This window comes from Homo sapiens, chromosome 1 (assembly GCF_000001405.40).
Source record: "Homo sapiens chromosome 1, GRCh38.p14 Primary Assembly".
NCBI lineage: Eukaryota > Metazoa > Chordata > Mammalia > Primates > Hominidae > Homo > Homo sapiens.
In genome coordinates this window covers 33,100,172-33,125,135 of record NC_000001.11, presented here as the reverse complement: position 1 = coordinate 33,125,135, position 24,964 = coordinate 33,100,172, and the positions used below count along the sequence as shown (strand labels likewise).

Here is a 24,964-nt window from a genome sequence, read left to right as displayed (position 1 = left end):
CACCCAGAGAGCCACCATCTCCCTCTGAGCTGGGGTGAACAGAGTTGACAACTTGCGTCTCTCTGACCTCCTCAAAGTTTCCTGGTTGGATCCCATTACTGGGTATATACCCAAAGGATTATAAATCATGCTGCTATAAAGATGCATGCACACGTATGTTTATTGTGGCACTGTTCACAATAGCAAAGACTTGGAACCAACCCAAATGTCCATCAATGATAGACTGGATTAAGAAAATGTGGCACATATACACCATGGAATACTATGCAGCCATAAAAAAGGATGAGTTCCTGTCCTTTGTAGGGACATGGATGAAACTGGAAACCATCATTCTGAGCAAACTATCACAAGAACAAAAAACCAAATACTGCATGTTCTCACTCATAGGTGGGAATTGAACAATGAGAGCACTTGGACACAGGTTGGGGAACACCACACACCGAGGCCTGTCGTGGGGTTGGGGGACGGGGGAGGGATAGCATTAGAAGATATACCTAATGTAAATGATGAGTTAATGGGTGCAGCACACCAACATGGCACATGTATACATATGTAACAAACCTGCACGTTGTGCACATGTACCCTAGAACTTAAAGTATAATAAAAAAAAAAGTTTCCTGACTGGGTCTGCCTTTCAGACTGTGGGCAGAGGTGAAGGAAGTACATGCCACTACCAGCCCTGAAGGTCTCCTCCCTCCACCCCTTTTGAGTATACTTTTTTTTCTTTTTTTTATTTTGAATACACTTTCAATTAATCTTCCCAAAGATCCTGACGTGCTTCTTCTGCTCCAGAAGCATAGCGGGCTCCCTACTGCCTACAGAATTAAGTTCAAACTCCTGGCTTTGTAATTCAAGGTCCTCTGTGACCATGCTGCACTGTGAGCTCCCTGAGAACTCAGAGGAGTGCTAAGTCCTGGACTAAGTACTTTATACCCATTTTCTTTTTTTATTTTTTATTGTTTATTTTTTTGAGATGGAGTCTTGCCCTGTCGCCTAGGCTGGAGTGCAATGGCAGGATCTCGGCTCAATGCAACCTCCGCCTCCCAGGTTCAAGTGATTCTCCTGTCTCAGCCTCACAAGTAGCTGGGATTAGAGGTGCACGCCACCATGCCTGGCTAATTTTTTGTATCTTTTTTTTTTGAGATGGAGTCTCACACTGTCATCCGGGCTGGAGTGTAGTGGTGTGATCTCAGCTCACTACAACCTCCACCTTCCAGTTCAAGTGATTCTCCTGCCTCAGCCTCCCAAGTAGCCAGGATTACAGGTGCCGCCACCACACCCAGCTAATTTTTTGTATTTTTAGTAGAGACGGGGTTTCACTGTTTTGGCCAGGCTGGTCTCAAACTCCTGACCTCGTGATCCGCCTGCCTTGGCCTCCCAAAGTACTAGAATTATAGGCGTAAGCCACCGCTCCTTGCCAATTTTTTGTATCTTTAGTAGAGATGGAGTTTCACCATGTTGGCCAGGGTGGTCTCAAACTCCTGACCTCGTGATCCACCAGCCTTGGCCTCCCGAAGTGCTAGGATTACAGGCATGAGCCACCACAGCTGGCCTTATACCCATTTTCTTATTTAATCTTCACAATAACCCTCTGAGGGAAATAAAGTTATCAGCCACATTGTACAAATGAGTAAACAGATTCAGACAGGTTAAGAGCATGTTTATTCAGACAGATTCAGACATGTTTATTCATTTGCCCATCCAGCATATACTTTTTGAACACCTACTCCGTTCTAGGTAATAAGGACACAGCAGTGAAAAAATAAATCAGGTTTATTCCAAGAGCCTAGAGCTCACATTCTAGAAGGGCTGACAGTTGCCCTTGTGTTATGGAACACATTATGGAGTTATGTTATAGAGTATGTTGAGTGGTGGTAGGTACTATGAAGAAAAAGAAAACTAGTTAAGAGAAAAGAGAGAGACTAGGACATGCTATTTTCTAAAGGGTGATCCAGAAGGCTTCACCTAAAGAAAACATTTGCACAGAACCTGAATGAAGTGAGTGAGGCCCACAGATAACCCAGGAAGATCATTCTAGAGAGGGGACAGTAAATGCATGCCCAGCAGTGGAGTGTTTGAAGAACAGAGGGGAGGCCAGTGTGGCCAGGACCCAGTGCGTGAGAGGGAAGTGTGGGAGTCAGAGAGCCAGCTGGCCAAGGACTTTAAATTTCATTCTTGGTGAAACGGAATCCCAGGAGGTACGGCATCTGGCTGCTGAGTGGAGGATGGACTGTGGAGGGGAAAGGGGAAGAAGGGGCCAGTCCTGAGTATGAGAAGATGGAAGCTCAGATCTGTTAACTCCTTGAAGGAGAGAATGAGAGAGAGTGAGTGTGCGCGCAGGAGGGGCTTCAGGAGGCACAGGTGGGTTGTAGGGAGGCATTGGGAAGAGGATGTTCCTCAGGTGATGCCCCAGGGAAGGATGGGTCTGTGATAGGCCAACAGGAACATCTGACTTCCAAGGCAGCCAGGAGGCATGAGGAGCCACTGCCAGTGGGTCGCTCAGCAGGGAGCTTGGAGGAGGCAGTGCCCATGCAGCCAGGGGTCCAGGAGACCCCTGCTTAGATTCGCCTGCACAAGCCTGAAGCCCCTTACCATTCTCCACATTTCAGGCTTTTTTCTTCTCTTTAGAAAAAGATTGAAATAAGAAACAAAAACAAATAACTGGGAAAAAATGACTATTAACTATTATCCTCAAGTAAGCCACATCAAGTTCTGCGTGTATCTTTCTTGGAAAAGTAAATTTCACATCCTTGCTGCAAATGGAACATGAAACACTAGAAAGGCTCCAGTGAGAAATCCATCCAAACTCCATGACAGCCACTGTCATTTCAAAAGCCACAGAATGCCCCCTCAGTGGACTTGCTCAGAAGAGGGAATCAGCTACACCTGGGTCTCACTGTAGCCAGCCATGAGATCTTCCCAGGATTCCTGCGCTTTTCACAGCAGATGCCTGGTTCCAGCAGAAAACCTATGTCCCTCTCCGCAAAAGAAGTATGAGTGCTTGGAGATCTGAGATGGAAGAAGTCTCAGAGTCTGATAGACAATTACTGGCATGGTAATACCTGTAAATCGTGGCTTTGATGGATCACGGGGTAGTAGAGTAACCCTTTCTGATTGCCCTGAGTCTTTTGATGTCCCAAGCTTTCAGCCTATTTATTGTCAAGATACCGAAAACTAGATCCCACCTGGAAAAGGGAGACACCCCTGGCTTTGAGAAAGCACCTCGTTCACTCCAAACCCATGCCACATTGCCTCATGAGATGACCTCAAAGCCACGTACAGTTCCCACCAGGACTGGCTGAGATACTGAAGCAGGATGGTCAGGCTTACCTAGAGAGAAGCTCAAGTGAAGATAGAAAATCCATCACAATACAATGTCCAGAATAAGCAAATCCATAGAGATGGAAGGTAGATTTGTGTCATCAGGGACTGGGGAATGGGAAAAATGGAGAGTGACTGCTAATGGGTATGGGATTTCTTTCTAGGGTGATGGTTACACAACTCTGAATACACCAGAAACCACTAACTTCTCCACTTTATTTATTTATTTCTTTATTTGAGGCAGGGTCTCGCTCAGTCGCCCAGGCTGGAGTGCAGTGGTGCAATCTCGGCTCACTGCAACCTCGGCTCACTGCGACCTCCACCTCCCTGTTCAAGTGATTCTCCTGCCTCAGCCTCCTGAGTAGCTGGAATTACAGGCACATACCACCACACCTGGCTAATTTTTGTATTTTTAGTAGAGACGGGGTTTTGCCATGTTGGCCAGGCTGGTCTCGAACTCCTGACCTCAGGTGATCACCTGCCTCAGCCTCCCAAAGTGCTGGGATTACAGGTGTGAGCCACTGCACCCAGGCTTCTGCATTTAAAAGGGTGAATTTGATGATTGCATATGAATTACATCTCAAATCTTTTAATTGCAGCAGAAAAATATTTAGAGTCCCCTGCAGCCACTGAGGGGGACTCTAAAATCTGAACTCCTTTGCTCAACAGCTCACACACCCCGGGGCATAATTTGGGAACCCGGCAGTGTGAAGGAGCCTTTGTCCTGATAAGCACTGCCAGTCTCAGGGGATGCCAGGGCTGTCGGCACTGGACACAGCAATACTCCGTGGCCAGCCCTGTTCTAACAGGCACTGCCCAAAGAAGCAAAAGCGACCACCAGGTGTCTGCTTTACTCTGACTGCCTTGCCAACCTGCAGGGAGAGCAAGGGTGCAGGGTCCACTCAAAACCTCCCACACACCCATTTCTTGGCTCTGTATCTTCAGTATGAATTTCCACAGCTGTGTTAAATACTCCATTGCCCCTACTCTGGGCCAGGCCTTAAGCTGGGTGTTGGGCTGACCCAAAGGCCATTCACCAGTTATGAGCTACGTAACTGCCCATCTCAGTCCCTGACAGCAGCCCCTTCCTTATGGCACCAGGCCTGGAGGCCCATGAGGAGGAGAGAGATGAGTCAGATAAGGTGAGTACTAGTGGGGGAGGCACACGCTGCAGCCAGGGCTCAGGACTAAAGCAGAGGGTGTGGGCTCATCAGTGAGTGATGGGGAAATCCTGCCCCAGGCCTAGCCCAGGCTGCTTTGTGAATCAAACTGCCAGATTCCGCTGCAGTTTTTAAAAACCTAAATATTTATTTATTTGCATTATATTTACAAAGGTGGGAAGGAGACCAAAGGAGACCCCAAGAACACCCCCACACCTGGCTGACCAGGCCCCTTGCACTGCAGAGGAGGCAGACACAGCTGGAAGGAACAGGATTTATGTTGCATACTTGAACTACAGCGAGTGTAAGACTGGTCCTATTTACAGGGCAGAAACACTGCAGGTGGAGCGCGGGGGTGGCAGGGTGGGCACCAGAGTCCTGGCCAAGGGTACCCTTGCCTGCCATCTTCCCCACCTCTCCCAGATGCATCTCTGAGGCCCCGCTGGGATTCTCCGGGGGGAACGAGGCCCACTCACATGATGCTCGCTGGGGTGAAGACAGGGCCCACGCACAGGGTGTCTGTGATCTCCCAGCCGCAGGACAGAGGCTTGCACACACCCTCCACGTCATCCTCCTGTTCTGCAGCCATCAGCTGCCTTCGCAGCGCTTCCCTAGGGGTGAGAGAGGGGTGCTGCAAGTAGCCAGCATGGGACTGGCAGGGCCCTGTACCTGGAGACGCAGCCCCATTGGGCAGAGGGCTCTCACGTGAGCCCGAGCTCAGCTGAGGGCAGGGGCAGGGACAGGCTGCTGACCCCTCCCCAACTGCTTCCTACTCCCGTGTGGTCCCCACCCCTCAACAAGGGAAAGAAATCCACATGTATCGAGCATTTACTACATGCCAGACATCATGCCAGGCACTTATATTATCTATTTGTATCTTCCCAAAAACCCCATGAGGGAGGCATTACCATCCCCGTTGCATTGATGATGTAATCAATCAGTTCCCCAGAGAGAGAAGTGACCTACCTAAGATCACATCCCTAGTAGGTAGTAGAACTAGGACTGAACCCAACTCTCACTCGAAAGCCCACATTCATCATACCCCAGGCTTGGGACTTCAAATAAAATCATATCCCATTCTCTCAAACAATCCCACAAACTGCTTCTCCTCCTACATACCCATGTTGATCAATGGCTCCACTATCAGAGTTGTAAACAGTTGGCAATCTTGTTCCCACACCCAGTTGAGCCCTGCTGAGCCCAGCTTCTGAACATCCTCATGTGCCCCATGGTCTCCATCCCCATGGGTAACACCATTTCAGTCTCCCTGATCTGCTCGTGCCCTCTCCAGACAGTTCTCAGCCAGGACCCAGATTCATCTTTCCAAAAAACAAATCCCTGCCCTTGAGCTGCCAGCCATTTCCCTCTGCTCTCAGGCCCTGCAAGATCTGGCTCTACCCGCCTCTTCCACCCACTCCTGGACACACTGGCCCACACACCTGAGCCATCCACTATGGCCACCTTTTGGGCTCTTACACATGTCCTCTCCCCAGCCTGGATCCATCCTTGTCTCTCTGCCTGTATCATCAACTCTCATCTAATTCCTCCTTAGCCTTCAGGTCTCAGCTTTGGTGACAGTCCTGAGACTGGACACAGCAGAGGAATTGAATGTGCCTGGGCAAACTGCTCCTGCTTTCTGTGGCCCTCTCCCTACCCCAAAAGAGGGACCCTTCACCACTGACTAGCTGCGTGACCTCAGAAGAATGACCTCTCTGTGATAACGCTGACCCCCACAGAGTGTTGTGTGGGTGAAATAGTCATACGACACCTAACGTAAGGCCTGATGTCAGGGTTCACTGGATGTGACTCCCCCATCTTGCATGCCTCTTGCCTCACTGGATCCCAGCACTAGCCTGGTGGGGCAGGCAGGGCTACTGTTACGCTTATTTTCTAGATGGAAAGACCAAGGCTCAGCAAGCAGGCAGACCAAGTCTCTCCTGTGTCACACAGCAGCCACCTAACTGGTCATCTCTTTCTGCATCTGCCCTTGTCCTCAGTCTATACAGGAACTAGGGTGGTCTTTCCAAAGTGCAAATCAGACTGTGTTATGCCCCTGCTTCAAACTGGTCCATGCCTCCCACTGCTGTCAAAGCGTGTCACTCGGCCTTCAAGCCCTTCCCAGATCTAGCCCTGCCTCCCTCTGCAGTCACAGCCACTCTCCATGCGAGCCTTGAATGCACCACACTTGCTCTCCGTTCCTTTCTTCTGGGAAGTCCTACCACCCACTCCTGTAGTTGACTCCCACTTCCTCAGGGAGGCCTGGGCCTCAGGGAGGGCTCTGCACTTCCACCAGGCACAGTATTATCACAAGGGCCTGTCTGCTTCTCTGTGCCTCCCTCAGGGCTGTGAGCTCCTCTAGGAAAGCCCAGCCTCACTTATGGCCACAGCCAGGTGCCAAGCACATCCCTCACGTGGGACCAGCAGCCAACAGCTACTTGTCAAGTTGGATTACACAGAAGCAGAATCTCAAATCTCAAGTTTCCCTCGTTTCTGCCCAGTTCCTCCCCATACCCCCATTTTCCAGCAGGGCCCTCTTACCAGGCCACCCGGGACATGGCATAGGTGATGTGGCAGGCCTGGGTCCCCCAAAAGGGGGAACCCATGCCCACAGTGTAGGCGCCCATGTTGTCAAAGACCAGCCAGTCCCCTACGTGTAGTTGCGGCAGCCACAGGCCCTCAGCCACGCAATCACAGCCATCAACCGCCGGGCCCCACAGGCTGCTGCTGTACAGGGGCTGCTCCGTGGATGGTTTCTGTAGGAAGAAGGGATGGCCATGCCAGCTCTCCTGGGCATACAACAGCCTTGCCACTCCCTCCCTCAAAAGCCTTCTATGGCTCCCATAGCCAACAGGATAAAGTCTAGATGGGCCTCCTAGCTTAGCATTTAAGGCCCTTCCCACTTCTCTGCATTCGTTGCCTCTTACACTCTGAAGTCACGAATGCCTGGCCTTAAATCCAGGTTCCAGCAGTTGTTAGCTGTGTGACCTTGGGCAAAATGCTTAATCTCTCCATGTCTCAGTTTGCTCATTTGTAAAATGGGGATAACAACAGTACCTACCTCGTAAGGTTACTGCAAGGATAAATGAGTTAGTGTATGGAGAGCATGTAGAACAGTGGCGGCACACGGCGAGGGTGCACAGAAAGTCAGCACAATTGTAACTTATTGTTGTGATTGCTGTTGTTACCACCTCTGCACTTTGGTCTTCACTGGCCTCTTTCCAGACGTCGATATGTCCACACCTCTACAGCCCTTCCCCGACCCTCAAATCTAGCCTGTCTTCTGAGCCCAGCCCTGGGGCTCCCTCGTCTATGAAGCCCTCCCAGATGTCCTCACTCCATGCCAGGCCCCACAACAGGAGCCAGCAGTATACCAGGCTAGACTCACCCTCCCTCAGGCCCTCAGTCTAATGAGAAAGATGGACTTCCAACAACAATCACAGGGGGACCTGGCAGAGGTCACAGAGGACCCCACAGAGTAGACACAATTACTCCCATTTCAGAAAAATGGAGGCTCTGACAGCTTAAATGACTTGCCCAAAGACACAACTACCAATGACATAAAATTTAAGATTTTTTCTTAAATGATTTCCAAATCCAGAAATTTGTAACAGACTCTGGACAACCAAGTTATCAGTGCCATTTGCCACAGTGTAGGCAGGGATCTTGCCAGGCAGATCCTAGAGTCACCACTGAAATGTGGATGATGATGACTGTGCCCTCTGAGAGGCCTCTTCTCCCATCACTGCACTTGCTGTGCTCCAGTTACTCCAGTTGCTCTGGGCTCCCCAGGTAAACCCTACTTCCCTTCCCATACCTCCTACTTTCCCCCATGCTATTCCCTGAGGCCCCAAATTTGCAAATTCCTATTTCTCCTTTAGATCTCAGCTAAAATGGCTTCAGGGAAGCCTTTCCTAAAGCTCCATGCTCCCTCAAGCTTTGCTTTCGTAGTATTTACCATAATTCATAAATATTTGTGAAATATCTGCTCAGGCCTGTCTTCCCTGAAGACTATAAATTCCATGAGCCCAGGGGATGTGTAGGTCTTGTCATCCCCATCTCCTCAATGCCTAGCAGGCTGGCATCCATTAGGTGCTTATTCAAATAATATTTTTAAATAAATGAATTAAAGAATGGGGAATATATGAGTGATGAGAAAGAGAAAGAATGACAAAGGGGAGAAAAAGGATATGAATGGAAGCCATCCAAAGGGCATAGATGGAAGCAACAGAGAAGACCAGCAGAGAAAAAAGGAAAGGCGTTTCAATACCTTAGCCAGAGCAGGAATGAGTAAAATTGAGAAAGAAAAGTCGCAGTTTCCATAAGCAGAAATAGTGCTCATATATTTGATAAAAAGTTAATAAGCTATTAGTCCCATTAATAAAGAAAAATATGTACATTATGTAAGTTAAGAATGATAGCTATCCAATCTTCAGGAATTCATTCATTCAACAAGTACTTATTGAGCACCTACTAATTGCCAGGCTGTGATCTAGGAGCTGGAGATGCAGCAGTAAACACACACACAAAATAAAATTCCTGTGGTCATGAAGCTCCCATTCTAAGAAGGGGAGACAAAGGAATACTGTATATCCTTGTTCATATAACTGAACATTCTTGTTTATAAACTTTTTGTTGATGAATAAAATTAACCTCAAGTGGTCTGAATTATTTCCCTTAGCCCCACTCATTGAAAAACATTAAGCTAATGTTTAAAGATGAGTGGAGGGGATGCTCTATAAATGAATCTACAAGGATCTTTGGGAAAATAAATTTTAAAGATTCTTCCATGGTAAAGAGAAAAGGCACCCTTGGATTATAAGAAGTTAGCATTCCCTCACTTGTTATTAGTGGTGTAAATTTTAAAAAATTAGGTGAAAAAAGATTTTAAATCTTCACATGACATAATGCAAAGCTACGCTTTTACTATTTATGTATCTATTTAACTTTTTTTTGAGACAGAGTCTCACTCTGTCATCGAGGCTGGAGTGTAGTGGTGTGATCTCAGCCCACTGCAACCTCTGCCTCCTGGGTTCAGCGATTCTCCTGTCTCAGCCTCCCGAGTAGCTGAGATTACAGGTGCCGGCCACCACACCTGGCTAATTTTTGTAGTTTTAGTAGATACAGGATTTTGCCATGTTGGCCAGGCTGGTCTCAAACTCCTGACCTCAGGTGATCCGCCACCTCGGCCTTCCAAAGTACTGAGATTGCAGGTGTGAGCCACTGCACCCAGCCTATTTTTTTTTTTTTAAGGAATCTGTGAAATAAATATTCTAAAAGCTGTGGCAACAAGCTTGTAAATCTCAGCTATTTTTACAAGTCTGAGTGGAAATGGACAAGCATCTGCAAAAATCCAAGATGCCCAGTCTGCCAGCCACTAGGCCCCTCTGTGAGAGAGGGCAGGGGGTTCCTCATTTACAAAGCATACCACCACCACTTCATACCTTATCTGGGAGGCAGGTGGCATGATTGCATTCCCATTTTACAGATGAGAAAACTCAGAGAGGGAAGGTGACCTGCCCAAGGCTCTAGGGGGAGTTAGTAGAACTCTGGGCAGTCCCAGACAAGGAGCCTCCTGGCTGCACCTAGCTGCCTTCTTCAAAGGCACATATGTCTGACAGAGCCACAGAAAAAACAAGGTCAAACATTGAAAAAGGTGCACGGCCTTGATGGAATCCCTAAATAATTCTTCAACTTTTAAAGAATAAATCAATAGGCTGGGCGCGGTGGCTCACGCCTGTAATCCCAGCACTTTAGGAGGCGGACACGGGCGCATCACTTGAGGTCAGGAGTTTGAGGCCAGCCTGGCCAACATGGCAAAACCCTGTCGCTACTAAAAATACAAAAATTAGCTGGGCGTGTAATCCCAGCTACTCAGGAGGCTGAGGCAGAAGAATCGCTTGAACCTAGGAGGCAGAGGTTGCAGTGAGCCAAGATCCAGCCATTGCACTCCAGCCTGGGTGACAAGAGCAAAACTCCATCTCAAAAAAAAAAAAAAAAAAAAAGGCGGGTCGCGGTGGCTCATGCCTGTAATCTCAGCACTTTGGGAGGCTGAGGTGGGTGGATCACGAGGTCAGGAAATCGAGACCATCCTGGCTAACACGGTGAAACCCCGTCTCTACTAAAAATACAAAAAATTAGCCGGGCATGGTGGCGGGCGCCTGTAGTCCCAGCTACTTGGGAGGCTGAGGCAGGAGAATGGCGTGAACCCGGAAGGTGGAGCTTGCAGTGAGCCGAGATTGCGCCACTGCACTCCAGCCTGGGCGACAGAGCGGGACTCCATCTCAAAAAAAAAAAAAAAAGAAAAGAAAAAAAAATCATCCAGTCTGGCCAACATGGTAAAGCCCTGTCTCTACTAAAAATACAAAAAAATTAGCCAGGCATGGTGGCAGGCGCCTGTAATCTCAGCTACTCAGGAGGCTGACACAGGCGAATCATTTGAACCCGGACGGAGGTTTCAGTGAGCTGAGATCGCACCACTGCACTCCAGCCTGGGTGACAGAGCAGGACTCCATCTCAAAAAAAAAAAGAAAAGAATAAATCAATAATTCGTACAAAAATATTTTAAAAGACAAAAATGAGATAAAAAGAAAAAAAAACCCTATGGCCAAAATCTCACTTGTGAATATATAGGCAAAAACCTGACATGAAATCTTAGCTAACCAAATTCACAGTCATATTATCTCTAAAATGAAAGGTGCAGACAACAGGAGAGAAGTCAATCACTGGCTTCATAACATGGAAAATATAGATCTACAGTTCAAGTTTAATTTTCCCAATACATGTCAACATACCATGAAGTAGCCCGTAGCATCTATTCTTTATTAAAACTACAGACAAAACAAAACCCCACAATGAAGAGAGACTATTTTAAATAATGATCCAACTCTGACTTCATTGAGATACACTGAAGTTCAGCCCTGTCATTTTCCAAATGGAGAAACTAGAGAAACAAGGCTCAGAGAGATTAAGTAGCTTGCTTTGCCTAAGGTTACTCAGCTGGTCTATGGCAGAGCCAGGTCTCAAACCCATGTCTTCTGATTCCAAGTCTGAAGCTTTCTGTCATCATTCCCATTTTATATATGATGAGAAATGCTAGCAATAGCTATCAGAAAAAAAGAAACAAAAAAGCATAATACATAGAAGATGAAGAAATAAAATATTACACTGCAGATAACGTATTTGCCCACCTGGAAAATCTTAAGGGGGTGGGTGTGGTTACTAGAGGAAATCAATGAATTTTAGAATGCAAGCCAGCATCTCAGCTCAAAAACACAGGGAAAAGTTTTCACTCACAATAGTAGTGAAAGCATTAAGCTATTACATTCTTGGATGTACTTGGGCCACAGTAATACTTATTCAAATAAAACAATAAAAAAATAATAAAACCAGCTGGGCGCGGTGGCTCACGCCTGGAATCCCAACACTTTGGGAGGCAGAGGTAGGCAGATCATGAGGTCAGGAGGTCGAGACCATCCTGGTTAACACGGTGAAACCCCATCTCTACCCCATCTCTCCAGGCATGGTGGCGGGCGCCTGTAGTCCCAGGTATTTGGGAGGCTGAGGCCTCCCAAGAGAATCGCTTGAGCCTGGGAGGTGGAGGTTGCAGTGAGCTGATATTGCACCACTGCACTCCAGCCTGGGCAACAGAGCGAGACGCCGTCTCAAAAAAAATAAATAAATAAAACCTTCATGGAAGAAATAAAAGATATGAAGTTTACACTGTCCTAGCTAGAAAAACTTAGTAAAGCAAAAAAGAGAATTCTCCCTAATTTAATAACTAGATTAAATAAACTATTACTAATTAAAATCCCCAGGATGTTTTTCTAAACATTAGAAATAATGTGATAAAAGAATAAATGTGAGCCTATCAAAGAATAATAATAAAGCAAATGACAAACTCAGTTTTTGTTAAATAATTTATACAAAAGAATATTTGTATCATGTCTAAGATATAACGAATGACAATAAAATGAATATCTGTGTACTTACCACCCAACTGAAGAAAGATAAAATTTCCAGTATCTTTGAAACTCCCTATGTGCCCACTCCAATGACATCTCCTCTTTCCTAACCTCTTTAGAGGTAACCACCATCCTCACTTTCATGTTCATCATTTTCTTACTTTGTTTTCCATGAGTGTACCTAACCCTAAACAATGTATTGTTTAGTTTTGCACACTTTTGAGATTTATATAAATTATAGAGTATGTAATCTCTACAAGTTCACAATACACTGTATAGAATTCACTGTACAGAATACACCATAATTTATGTTTCTGCTACCCTGCCAATAAACATTAAGGTCATTTCCAATGTTTTATATTATAAAGATATATATGTTCTGATATATCTCCTCGAACACACATGCCAAGAGTTTCTTTACAATATAGGCCTAGGAACTTGCTGTAATGTAGGACATACATATGTGCAAATTTATCTGAATAATGCCTACTTGTTTCCCAAAGTAGTGATACACCACTGCCACCTAGCAGTGCCTAAGGACCCAACTACACCATATCCTCACCAACAGTTGGCATTATCATGCTTTTAATGTTTTTCTAATCTAGTTGTTATGAAATGGTATCTCGTTTTCACTTTTATTTGCATTTCCTTGATTACCACTGAGCACCTTTTCAGTTTATCTTCTGTGAATTGCCCGGTAAAGTCTCTTGCCTGTATTTCTATTGGGTTGCTTTTTTCCTTATTTTCTTGAGATTCTTGTTTGTCTCTATTCCTTACTTAAGAATTCTTCAGGCCGGGCGCCGTGGTTCACGCCTGTAATCCCAGCACTTTGGGAGGCCGAGGTGGGTGGATCACAAGGTCAGGAGTTCAAGACCAGCCTGGCCAACATGGTGAAACCCCACCTCTACTAAAAAAAATACAAAAATTAGCCAGGCACGGTGGCGTGTGCCTGTAAACCCAGCTACCTGGGAGGCTGAGGTGGGAGAATTGCTTGGACCTGGGAGGCAGAGGTTGCAGTGAGCCGAGCCACTGCACTCCAGCCTGGGCGACAGAAAAAGACTCCGTCTCAGGAAAAAAAAAAAAAAATTATTCATATATTTTGTCTACTAATCTCTTATCAATTATATATGTGTTTCAATATTCCCCCCAGTTTGCCTCAGCTGGTCTATTTCTTATGCTGGGATCAAAACTAAACTATTTTAATTACTTTCTGTGTTAGAAGTTATATTATCTTATTTCTATTCTTGTAGTGGTTACTCTATACATTTACATTTTAACATCTCAACGTGGCATTCAATAGCTGTACCATCTATTCTTGATCAAAACTACAGAAAAATCAAAACAAAACCCCACAATGAAGACAGACCATTTCAATAAGGAACCAACTCTAACTTTGTGAAGATACACTGGAATGGCCTCACTTCAAAAAAAGAAGCAACATTAGTAATTAAAGTTCAGCCCCCTCATTTTCCAAGCTAGAGAAGTAAGACTCAGAGAGATTAAGTAACTTGCCTAAGGTTACCCAGCAAGTACATGGTAGCATTCGCCTTAGTGGCCTTCACAGTTCAGCCCTGGCCTGCACCTTCCAGCAAGATTCTCCCCCACTCAGCAGCAGGCTGCTTCTGTGCTGCATGGATTGTTGCAGTAGTCACCCTCTGACAAGTTTGCCACTGGTGGACTGCTGTTTCTGTGACACTGCAGCCTCTCCTCAAAGGTTTCAATATCAGCCTTGGAGGGAGGAGCCCTCCTCCTCTGTGTTTCTAAGTTCCTGCCTTCTTCACTCTCCCTCAGGACCAGGGGTGGTAGCTGATTTTACCCCTTTTAGTAATTGTAATGAACCACCTTTACAGTTAACCATTCTTTATGTTAAAATTTCCCTGTTCAAATTACTAGTGTGACATTTGTATCCTGATACAGTCTCTTCCTGAAACTATGATTGGACATTATGCCTTCTGACTCTATGCACCATTTCCTTAGCCTTTCCTATTTTATATCTTTTTGTCTCTGTGCTACATTTGGATACTTTCTTCAACTCTATCTTCCCATTCTCTCATTCTCTCTTCTGTTGTCTCTAATATGCTGCTTACCCTGGCCATAATTTCAATTTTCATATTTTTCATTTCTAGTTCTATTTAATCCTTTTTAAAATCTGCTACAACATATTTTTATATTCACTTATTCTTTGGTCATATTTTCAATTTCTTATTTCTTCAAACATTGTAAAAGAATGTTAGCACCTGATAATTCCAATATATGAAGTAAACGCAGGTCTGATCTGCTACCTATTGCTTTTGCGGTTCTTCCTCACGATGACTTGTTTCTTTGTATGTTGTGATTTTTGACTGTGAGCTCATGTACTTTGAAACCTTATCAGTGAGAAGCCTAAACTGAAGATTCCTCCTCCAGAGAGAATTTGTTTGCTTCTGCTAGATGAAATTATTTTGAGGCTTAAGGTTTTTCAGACCATAGTTAATGTGAATTTGGGCCATAAGCCCAAAAGAAGGCTGGCTTGTGGTTACAAAATCTCAATTTTTTTCTCTCTTCCAATCACTACCAAGATCAAAACAGTGAAGTTTTCTTGCTGCCATTCTCTGTAGAATGGGCTTTTTTCTCTAGTTGACTCTTACACTAAGGATGTACTTCTTTTGGGTTCTCAGCTCTATGTAAGGGCATCCTATTGGATTCTCCATCTTGACTAGGCCCTAGGAACCCACACAGATATCAAAACTGAAGGTCAATGCTACCATGATTCAGCATACACTCCAAAACAAAAATCCAGTTTCAGAATTAGGTTGCCATTTAATACATATTTGGATAATCACTGTTTTGTATGCTTGGGACACACTAATAAACAAAATACACAAAGGTCCTTGTCCTCTTGGGGTTTACAGTTTAGCAGGGGGGAGGCAAACAAGTAAATTATATAGTATGTTAGAAGGTAATAAGCACTACAGAAAAAAAAAAGAATAGAACACACAACACCTAAGGCACAATCCATAAAAGAAATAATTGATAAACTGGACTTTATTAAAATTAAAAATTTCTGCACTGCAAAAGACAATATTCACCAGGCGTGGTGACTCACACCTGTAATCCCAGCACTTTGGGAGGTCGAGGCAGGCAGATCACTTGAGGCCAGGAGTTCGAGACCAGCCTGGACAACATGGTGAAACCCCGTCTCTACTAAAAATACAAAAACTAGCCAGGCTTGGTAGTGCACACCTGTAATCCCAGCCATTCAAGAGGCTGCGGCAGGAGAATCGCTTGAGCCTGGGAGGCGAAGGTTGCAGTGAGCCAAGATCTCACCACTGCACTCCATCCAGCCTGGGTGACAGAGCAAGACTCTAACTTAAAAAAAAAAAAAAAGAAAAAGAAAATGTTAAGAGAAGACAAGCCACAGACTGGGAGAAAATAGTTGCAAAAGACACATCTGATAAAGGACTGTTATCCAAAATATATGAAGAACTCTTAAAACTCAAAAATGAGAAAACAAACAAGTAAAACTCTGTTTAAAATGGTCAAAGGACTTTAACAGATACTTCGCCAAAGAATATATACAGATGGCAAATAAACATATGTCATCAGGGAAATATAAATTAAAACAACAAATACCACTGAACACTTACTCAAATGGCCAAAATTCAGAACACTGGTAACACCAAATGCTGGTGTGGATGTGGAGCAACAAGAACTCCCATTCATTGCTGGTGGGAATGCAAAATGGTACAGCCGCTTTGAAATACCGTTTGGCAATTTTCTACAAAACTAAACATATTCTTACCATATGATCCAGCAATTGTACTCCTTAGTATTTACCCAAAGGAGTTAAAAATTGCTTGTCACACAAAAACTTACACATAGATGTTTATAATAGCTTTATTCATAATTGCCAAAACTTGGAAGCAACCAAGATGTCCTTCAGTAGGTGAATGGATAAACTGCTGTATACCCAGATAATGGAATATTATTCAGTGCTAAAAAGAAATGAGCTATCAAGCCATGAAAGGAATGAAGGAAACTTAAGTGCATATTACTAAGTGAAAGAAGTCAATCTGGGCCACGGTGGTTCATGCCTGTAATCCCAGCACTCTGGGAGGCCAAGGTGGGCGAATCACTTGAGTTCAGGTGTTCAAGACCAGCTTGGCCAACATGGTGAAACCCCATCTCTACTAAAAATACAAAAAGTAGCGGGGCATGATGGCACATGTCTGTAATCCCAGCTACTCGGGAGGCTGAGGCAGCAGAATCACTTGAACCCAGGAGGCAGAGACTGCAGTGAGCCAAGATCACACCACTGCACTCCAGCCTGGGCAACAGAGTGAGACTCTGTCTCAAAAAAAAAAAAAAAAAAGTCAATCTGAAAGTCTTTAATCCATTTTGTATATGGTGTGAGATAGCATCCAATTTTATTCTTCTATATGTGGATATCTAGTTTTCCTAACACCATTTATGGAAGAGACTGTCCTTTCCCATTGTGTGTCCTTGGTACGTTTGTTGAAGATCAATTGACCGTAAATGCATGGATTTATTTCTGGGCTCTCTATTCTATTCCACTGGTCTATATGTTCGTTTTTATGCCAGTACCATGCAGTTTTGCTTACTTTATAGCTTTCTAGTATATATTTTGAAATCAGATAATGTGATGCCTCCAGCTTTCTTCTTTTTGCCCAAGATACTTTGGCTATTTAGGATGTTTTGTGGTTTTATACAAATCTTAGGATTTTTTTATACTTCTGGGGAAAAGATCATTGGAATTTTGATAGGGACTGCATTGAATCTATGGATCGCTTTGGGTAGTATGGACATTTTAACAGTATTAATTCTTCCAATTCACAAACATGGGGTATCTTTCCATTTATTTATGTCCTTTTTTATCTCCTTCATCAATGTTTTCTAGTTTTCAGCGTACACATCTCTTACCTCCTTAAATTTCCTAAGTAATTTTTTGATGCAATTATAAATGGGATAGTTTTCTTGATTTCTTTTTCAGATAGTTAGCATATAGAAACATTGTATGTTAACTTTGTATCTTCTAATTTTCTGAACTTATTAAGTCTAATAGTTTTTTGGTGAAGTCTTTAGAGTTTTTTTGTTTGTTTGTTTTGTTTTGTTTTTGAGATGGAGTCTGGCTCTGTCGCCAGGCTGGAGTGCAGTGGCGCCATCTCAGTTCACTGCAGCCTCCACCTCCCAGGCTCAAATGATTCTTGTGCCTCAGCCTCCTGAGTAGCTGGGATTACAAGCACCCATCACCGTGCCCAGCTAATTTCTGCATTTTTAGTAGAGACAGGGCTTCACCATATTGTCCAGGCTGGTCTCGAACTCCTGACCTTAAGTGATCTGCCTGCCTCGGCCTCCCAAAGTGCTGGGGTTACAGGCATGAGCCACTGCGCCGGCCTTTGTGTGTGTGTGTGAGATGGAGTCTCACTCTGTTGCCCAGGCTAGAGTGCAGTGGCATGATCTCGGCTCACTACAACCTCTGCCTCCCAGGTTCAAGCAATTCTCATGCCTCAGCCTCCTAAGTAGCTAGGATTACAGGCACACATCTTTACGCCTGGATAATTTTGTATCTCTAGTAGACAGGGTTTCACCACATTGGCCAGGGTGGTCTTGAACTCCTGACCTTAAGTGATCCACCAGCCTTGGCCTCCCAAAGTGCTAGGATTACAGGCATGAGCCACCACGCCAAGCCTTAGAGTTTTCTATATATAAGATAATGTCATCTGCAAACAGAGACAATTTTACATCTCCCTTTCCCATTTGGATGACTTTTATTTCTTCCTCTTCTCTAATTGCTCTGGCTAGGACTTCTAGTACCACACTAAATAGAAGTGGTGAGAGTGAGCATCTTAGTCTTGCTCCTGACCTTAGGATCCTTGTTGAGTATAACATTAGCTGTGAGCTTGTCATATATGGCCCTTATCATGTTGAGGTACATTCCTTCCATACCTAATTTGTTGAAAGTTTTTATCATGAAAGGATGCTGAATTTTGTCAAATGCTTGTTCTCCATCTACTGAGATGATCATATGATTTTTATCCTTCATTGTGGTAATATTATAGTACATCACATTTATAAATTCAGACATGTTAAAATTTCTTTGCATCCCAGGGATAAATTCCACTTTAAAAGGATCATGGTGTATGATCCTTTTAATGTGCTATTTAATTTGGATTGCTAGTATTTTGTTGAGGATTTTTGCATATCTGTGAACATGGCCTGTAATTTTCTTTTCTTATGGTGTATTTGGCTTTGGTGTTAAGGTAATTGTGGTTTTGTAAAATGAGTTTGGAAGTGTTCCCTCTGCTTCAGTTTTGTGGAAGCATTTCAGAAGGATTGGTATTAATTCTTTTTTACATGTTTGGTAGAATTCACCAGTAAAGCCATAAGGTCCTGGGCTTTTCTTTGTTGGGAGGTTTTTGATTACTGATTCAATCTCCTAACTCACTATTGGTCTATTCAGATTTTCTGTTTCTTCATGATTGAGTCTTTGTAGGTAATATTTGTCTAGGAATTTATCCATTTTGCCTAGGTTATCCAATTTCTTGGTGTATAGTTATTCATGCTAGTAGTGGTCTCTTATGATCCTTTGAATTTCTGTGGTATCCTGTAATGTCTCCTCTTTCATTTATAATTTTATTTATTTGAGTCTTCTGTCTTCTTAGTCTAGGGACACACTTGGTAAGTGCTATTGCAATACATTCCAGACAGATTCACACTTTTGAAAGCATAACAAACTAGAATAAAATGGAACAGCAAGTAAGAAAGCCCCATCTTGGCAATAAAAGGAGAATCTCTCTTCATGGACTGGGGTAACTGTCCTGAATTTTGCCTGCCAAGATTCTTATAAAACTCCCATGATACTTGCCTCCTCTTGATTCCACCCTATACCAAATCGTATCTTGCATTTGTGAAGTGCTCATACACATTTGTTGAATTGCATCTTTACACACTGATATGGTTTGGCTTTGTGTCCCCACCCAAATCTCATCTTGAATTGTAATCCCCAGATATTGAGGGAGGGGCCTGTTGGGAGGTGATTGGATCATGGCGGGCAGTTTCGCCCATGCTATTCTTATGATAGTGAGGGAGTTCTCATGAGAGCTGATGGTTTTAAAAGTGTTTGGAAGTTCCCCCTTCACACCTCTCCCTCCTGCAGCCATGTAAGATGTGCCTGCTTCCCCTTCTGCCATGAATGTAGGTTTCCTGAGGCCTCCCTATCCATGCAGAACTGTGTCAATTAAACCTCTTTCCTTTTTAAATTACCCATTCTTGGGTATTCCTTTTTGGCAGTGTGAGAACAAACTAATACACACACTAAATATGTATTATTTTAGAGCACTCAATGAACATTTAAAATGTTTCTATATTTAAAAGTCCACCTAACACGTCAGTATTTAAAGAAAACCATATGCTCACAATATATAAAACTTTAAAGTGAAAAACAAAGTGCACTATGACACTTTTTTAAAAAGTAGAAATCAAAAACAAGATTGGTCTTTCAAAATGTTACAGCATTGTAAATTAGAGATTTTGGGCTTAGTTCTCTCTCCCCACCCAGCTCTGATTATTTCCAATATTTTAGAAGTATATTAACAAAAACACCTTTTAATATCAGAGCAGCTAAAACTGGTTAAATCATGACATTAGTAAACGAAACGTCTTGCTTATTCTTAGCAAGACTAGACAACCTTTTAAAAAAAATTATCAGGTCAGGCGTGGTGGCTCATGTCTGTAATCTCAAGGTGGGAGGATTGCTTGAACAAAACAAGGAGCTCAAGACCAGCCTGGGCAACATGGCAAAACCCCATCTCTGCAAAAAATACAAAAATTAGCCAGGCATAGTGGCATGTGCCTGTAGTCCGAGCTATTCAGAAGCTGGAGTGGGAAGGATGGCTTGAGCCTCGGAGGTGGAGGCTACAGTGAGCATGACTGTGCCACTGCACTCTGGCCAGGGTGACAGAATGTGACCTTGTGTTAAATAAAATAAAACAAAATAAAATAGCCATTAAACCCAAAAAAAGTAGAAATCAAAGTACATTTAACAATAGTCATCTCTGAATGGTGGGATTAGTGAATCATTTTATTTTACTATTTGTGTTAAATTTTTTCTAATAAACATTCTATTTCTATAAGACTATATATATATATATGTAATAAAGATAATCTATAACAGCAGAGCACAAAAGAAAGTAACAGATTTCCTTCCTATTAATTACAGCAAACTTAGTTAAAACAAAATAGTGTGTCAAAACTTCTATGAAAGAATAACAAAGAATTACAAAACTAAAACAATAAACCAATAGAGTGAAAAAATATTTGTATCAAACATCATATTAAATACATGCACACATGCATATGCAAGCTCATTTCTATGTGCAAGAAAAAACTTCAAGACCTCCCAAATTAAGTGAACAGAGGATATAAAAAGACATTGACATCAAAATAAATAAAACAATAAACAAAAACAAAATGGTTTATCCTTGTCAAAGACATAGAAATGAAAGAAACAATGGCCGGGTACAGTGGCTCATGCCTGTAATCAAAGCACTTTGGGAGGCCGAGGCGGGCAGATCACTTGAGGTCAGGAGTTCAAGACCAACCTGACCAACATGGTGAAATGCCGTCTCTACTAAAAATACAGAAATTAGCCAGGCATAGTGACGGGCGCCTGTAATCCCAGCTACTCGGGAAGCTGAGGCAGCAGAATCACTTGAACCCGGGAGGCAGAGGTTGCAGTGAGCCAAGACTGTAGCACTGCACTCCAGCCTGGGTGACAGAGTGAGACTCCATCTCAAAAAAAAAAAAAAAGATCTATTTAATTCCAACATATACTGAACCTACTGTATGCCAAGTTCCGTACTAGGGAAACAGATATGAACAGATGTGAGACCCTCAAGGGTCTCACAGTTTATTGAATGATTGATTCATCCATTCACAATTCATTCAACAGATATTTAGTGAGCACCTACTATATGCCAGGCACTGTGTCTGGTGCTGGGAACTCAGAGGAAACTAACTGGACAACGTGGCTGCCCTCATAGAGCCTACCTGCTAATGGAGAAGACAGACTATAGGCAAGTAAACAAAAACAAGATAATTAACAGATTACGATGGGTTGTGAAGAAAATAAGCAGGGTATCAAAATTATCTGACTAGGGGAGGTGAGCCTACTTTAGAGAGGGCAGTCAGGAAAGGCCTCCCTGACAAGGTGACATCTGAGCTGAGACATAAGAAAGAGAATACAGCAGCTGTCTCAGGGGTGAGTGGAAGAGCATTCTGGGCGAGCGAATGCAAAGGCCCTGAGAGCAGAAACAACTTAGGTGTTACAAAAACAGAAAGGAGAGGAATGGGACTGGAGCAGGTAAGTGGAGCTGAAAACAGGGACAGGAGTGAGGGCAGAGGTGCCTGGGAAGATGGCAGGAGCCTTGCTCGTTGTGGTAAGGAGTCTAGGTTTTATTCTGAGAGCAATGGGAAGCCACAGATGGTGTTAAGCAGAGGAGGGGCATAATCTTTGGGATTTTAAAAGATCATTCTGTCTGCAGCGTGGAAAATGGGTGGTAAGCAGGTAGTAGTATGGGGGTGGAAAACCAGTTAATGGCTACTGCAGTAGCTCAAGCAGGAGGCAATGGTGGCTTGCATTAGGGTGGCGACAGAGGAAGAATTCACTGAAACCAAAATGTATTTTGGAACTACACTCAAGAATTGCAGGTGGACTGCATGTGGAAGGAGAGGGAAAGCAAAAATCAAGAATAATGCCAACTTTTTTAGCTTCAGCAGTTGGCTAGTGGCAGTGCTATTTAGTGAGAGAAGTTTGGGGTTGGAAATCAAGAGTTCAGTTCTGAACAAGTTAAACTTGAGATGTCTGTGAAATCCCAGTAGGAATCTCAAGCGGGTAGTTGGATGTGCAAGTCTGGAGCTCAGGGGTGTGATCCAGGATAGAGATAGAAATTTGGGAGTGATGATAGTATGGAAGATACTAAGAGCCTCAGTCTGGAAGCATTTACCTAGGAAGCGCATATAGACAGAGAAGATCAAGGACTGAGGCCTGAGACAGTCAGCACTTAAAGGGTGAGCAGGAGAAGTGCCAAGGAGACAAGGTGAGAACAGCAGAAGAGTAGCCAAGGCCCAGGATGTTGCCACAGAAGCCAGGAGAGGTGAGCATGAAAACAGAGGAGGACCAGCTGCTGGGACAGAAGAGCCATATGGAAGAGCTAGCAGCGTGGAAGTGACTTTCAAGAGCATCTTCCATGGCATCATGGAACAGGTACCTGACTGGAGAGGTTGGAAGGGCTAAGGGAGCTGAGTGAGCAGGGGCAGTGGGTACAGACCACTCGGTGGAGAAATTCAGACATGAAGGGGAACACCAACTTACAAAGTCCCTGGAAGAAGTTCCGGGAAACACATTTGGCCAGTAAATATACAAAGAGACATCCAGCTTTGCTAGTGATGAGGGAAATGCAAATCAAGACACAATGAGATATCATTTTACATCCATTCCACTGGGAAAATGTTTTCAGTCTGGCAATACTCCATGCTGGAGAAAATGCAGAGCCACCGAGTCTCTTACACACTGCTGGTGGGATTGTCAGTACAACACTTCAGAAAATTGTTTGGCATTTTCTCATGAAGCCAAACATTCACATGCCCTATACCCAGCCATTCCACTCCTTGCTCACTCATCAGAGAGAGGGAAACAAGAATTCACAGCAGCAGTATTCACAGTAGCAAAAACCCAAAGACAGTCCAAATGCCTTGAGAGGAGAATGGACAAATAAACTGCAGCATACTCACCAAAAGAGCGCTACACGGCAATGAAATGAATGGACTCTAGAGACATGTAGCAGGGTGAGTGGTTCTTAGACTGTGATATGAGGGAGAAAAAGCCCAAACAGGTTACATGCATCAAAATACCTTTTTATAAAGCAAAAAAACAAATATAATAAATTATAAATACACTCGAGGAATAGATTTAGATGTGATAAACCTATACTGAAAAAGAAAGCCAGAGAATGATAATGCATGAGTCAAGATAGTGACGACTTTGCATGGAAGGCAATGTAGGTTAAATAATAAGGATGCTTATTACTCTAAAAGGAAAACAAAGACAAGATCTCCCATGGAGTATTTTTATTCCAAAGCTGATTGAGATGCTATTCAAACCTCTAAATCTACCTAATTTCAAAAAAAAAAAAAAAAATACCAGGCAGAGAAACATGTTCAAAAGCACCAAAGGGAAATTCAGGAAATTCACCAATCAGGAAAATCAAGAATGCAGGAAACTCCACAGGAAAAACAACTCAGTTTAAAATTACCAAAGAAAACAAACAAACAAAACAGACTTAAAAAGAGGGTGGGGGCCAGGCACAGTGGTTCATGCCTGTAATCCCAGCACTTTGGGAGGCTGAGGCTGGACAATCGCTTGGGGCTGGGAGTTCTCAACCCGCCTAGACAACACAGGGAGATTGCATCTCTACAAAAAAGAAAAAGAAGAAAAGAGTATGGGGAAACCAATGGGTTAAGAGAGAGACATGGTGCCGGGCCCAGTGGCTCACACCTGTAATCCCAGCACTTTGGGAGGCCGAGCCAGATGGATCACTTGAGGTCAGGAGTTTGAGACCAGCCTGGCCAGCATGGCAAAACCTCATCTCTACTAAAAATACAAAAATTAGCCAGGCATGGTGGCACACACCTGTAATCCCAGCTACTCGGGAGGCTGAGGCAGGAGAGAAGCTTGAACCTAGGAGGCAGAGGTTGCAGTGAGCCGAGATCACACCACTGAACTCTAGCCTAGGCAACAGAGTGAGACTCTGTCTCAAAAAAAAAAGAGAGAGAGAGAGATGGCAACCAAATGCACCATGCAGACCTTCTTTGCCTCCTGATTTCAGCAAGTTAATATAAAAACCATTATGAGACAGTTGGGGATAGCTCAACACCGATGATGGGGGATACTATGGAATTATTCATTTTTTAATTTGATAATGGAATTGTGATTTTTTAAGTTCCTTATTTTTTAGAAACATGTACAGTACTAAAATATGTTTTAAAAGCTCCAATAATATTTGTTCTGTACTTTTCTCATACATGGTTGTAGCTTGTATACTAATCACACACACACACACACACACACACGTGTTTCTATCCAACAGGACTGTACTTCCAAAGCACAGACAATTCCTCTGCAGACCTCAGCACGGTGCTTTGAGTATTGAGAGTACTGCTTTGAGAGTACTGAATTATTTGCTGAATTTATAAAAATAAAAACCAAAAAGAAACACACAAAAAAGGGCCAAGCATGGTGCAATAAGAAGTATATCTTGAGCCAAGGATTATGTTTCATACAACTTTTTTTCTTTTCTTTCTTTTTTTTTTTTTTGAGACAGAGTCTTACTCTGTCGCCCAGGCTGGAGTGCAATGGCACAGTCTTGGATCACTGCAACCTCCGCCTCCCAGGCTCAGGTTACTCTCCTGCCTTAGCCTCCCAAGTAGCTGCGATCACAGGCATGTGCCATCATGCCCGGCTAA

At 43.7% G+C, this 24,964-nt stretch overlaps 1 protein-coding gene across 31 annotated transcripts in view; it reads right to left on the bottom strand.

Moving 5' to 3' along the window:
• AZIN2 (antizyme inhibitor 2) overlaps nt 1–24,964 on the bottom strand; it is an 85,643-nt gene that overhangs the window by 41,660 nt on the left and 19,019 nt on the right. For 19 of the 31 annotated variants that reach the window (NR_146649.2, NM_001350399.2, NM_001376724.1 and 16 more), the window contains 2 exons: nt 7,020–7,234; nt 1,644–5,092 (listed from right to left, as the gene is read on the bottom strand). The exons of 2 other annotated variants lie outside the window; for them this stretch is intronic. Coding sequence is in view for 26 of the 29 variants with exons in the window: in NM_001350399.2 (NP_001337328.1) it covers nt 4,954–5,092; nt 7,020–7,234 (354 nt within the window). In the remaining 3 variants the exon portion in view is untranslated. Of the gene's footprint in view, nt 1–1,643; nt 5,093–7,019; nt 7,235–18,674; nt 20,411–23,233; nt 23,304–24,964 lie in introns of those variants that run through there. 10 more of the 31 variants (XM_011540566.2, XM_011540563.2, XM_047443473.1 and 7 more) reach the window with 6 other exon arrangements.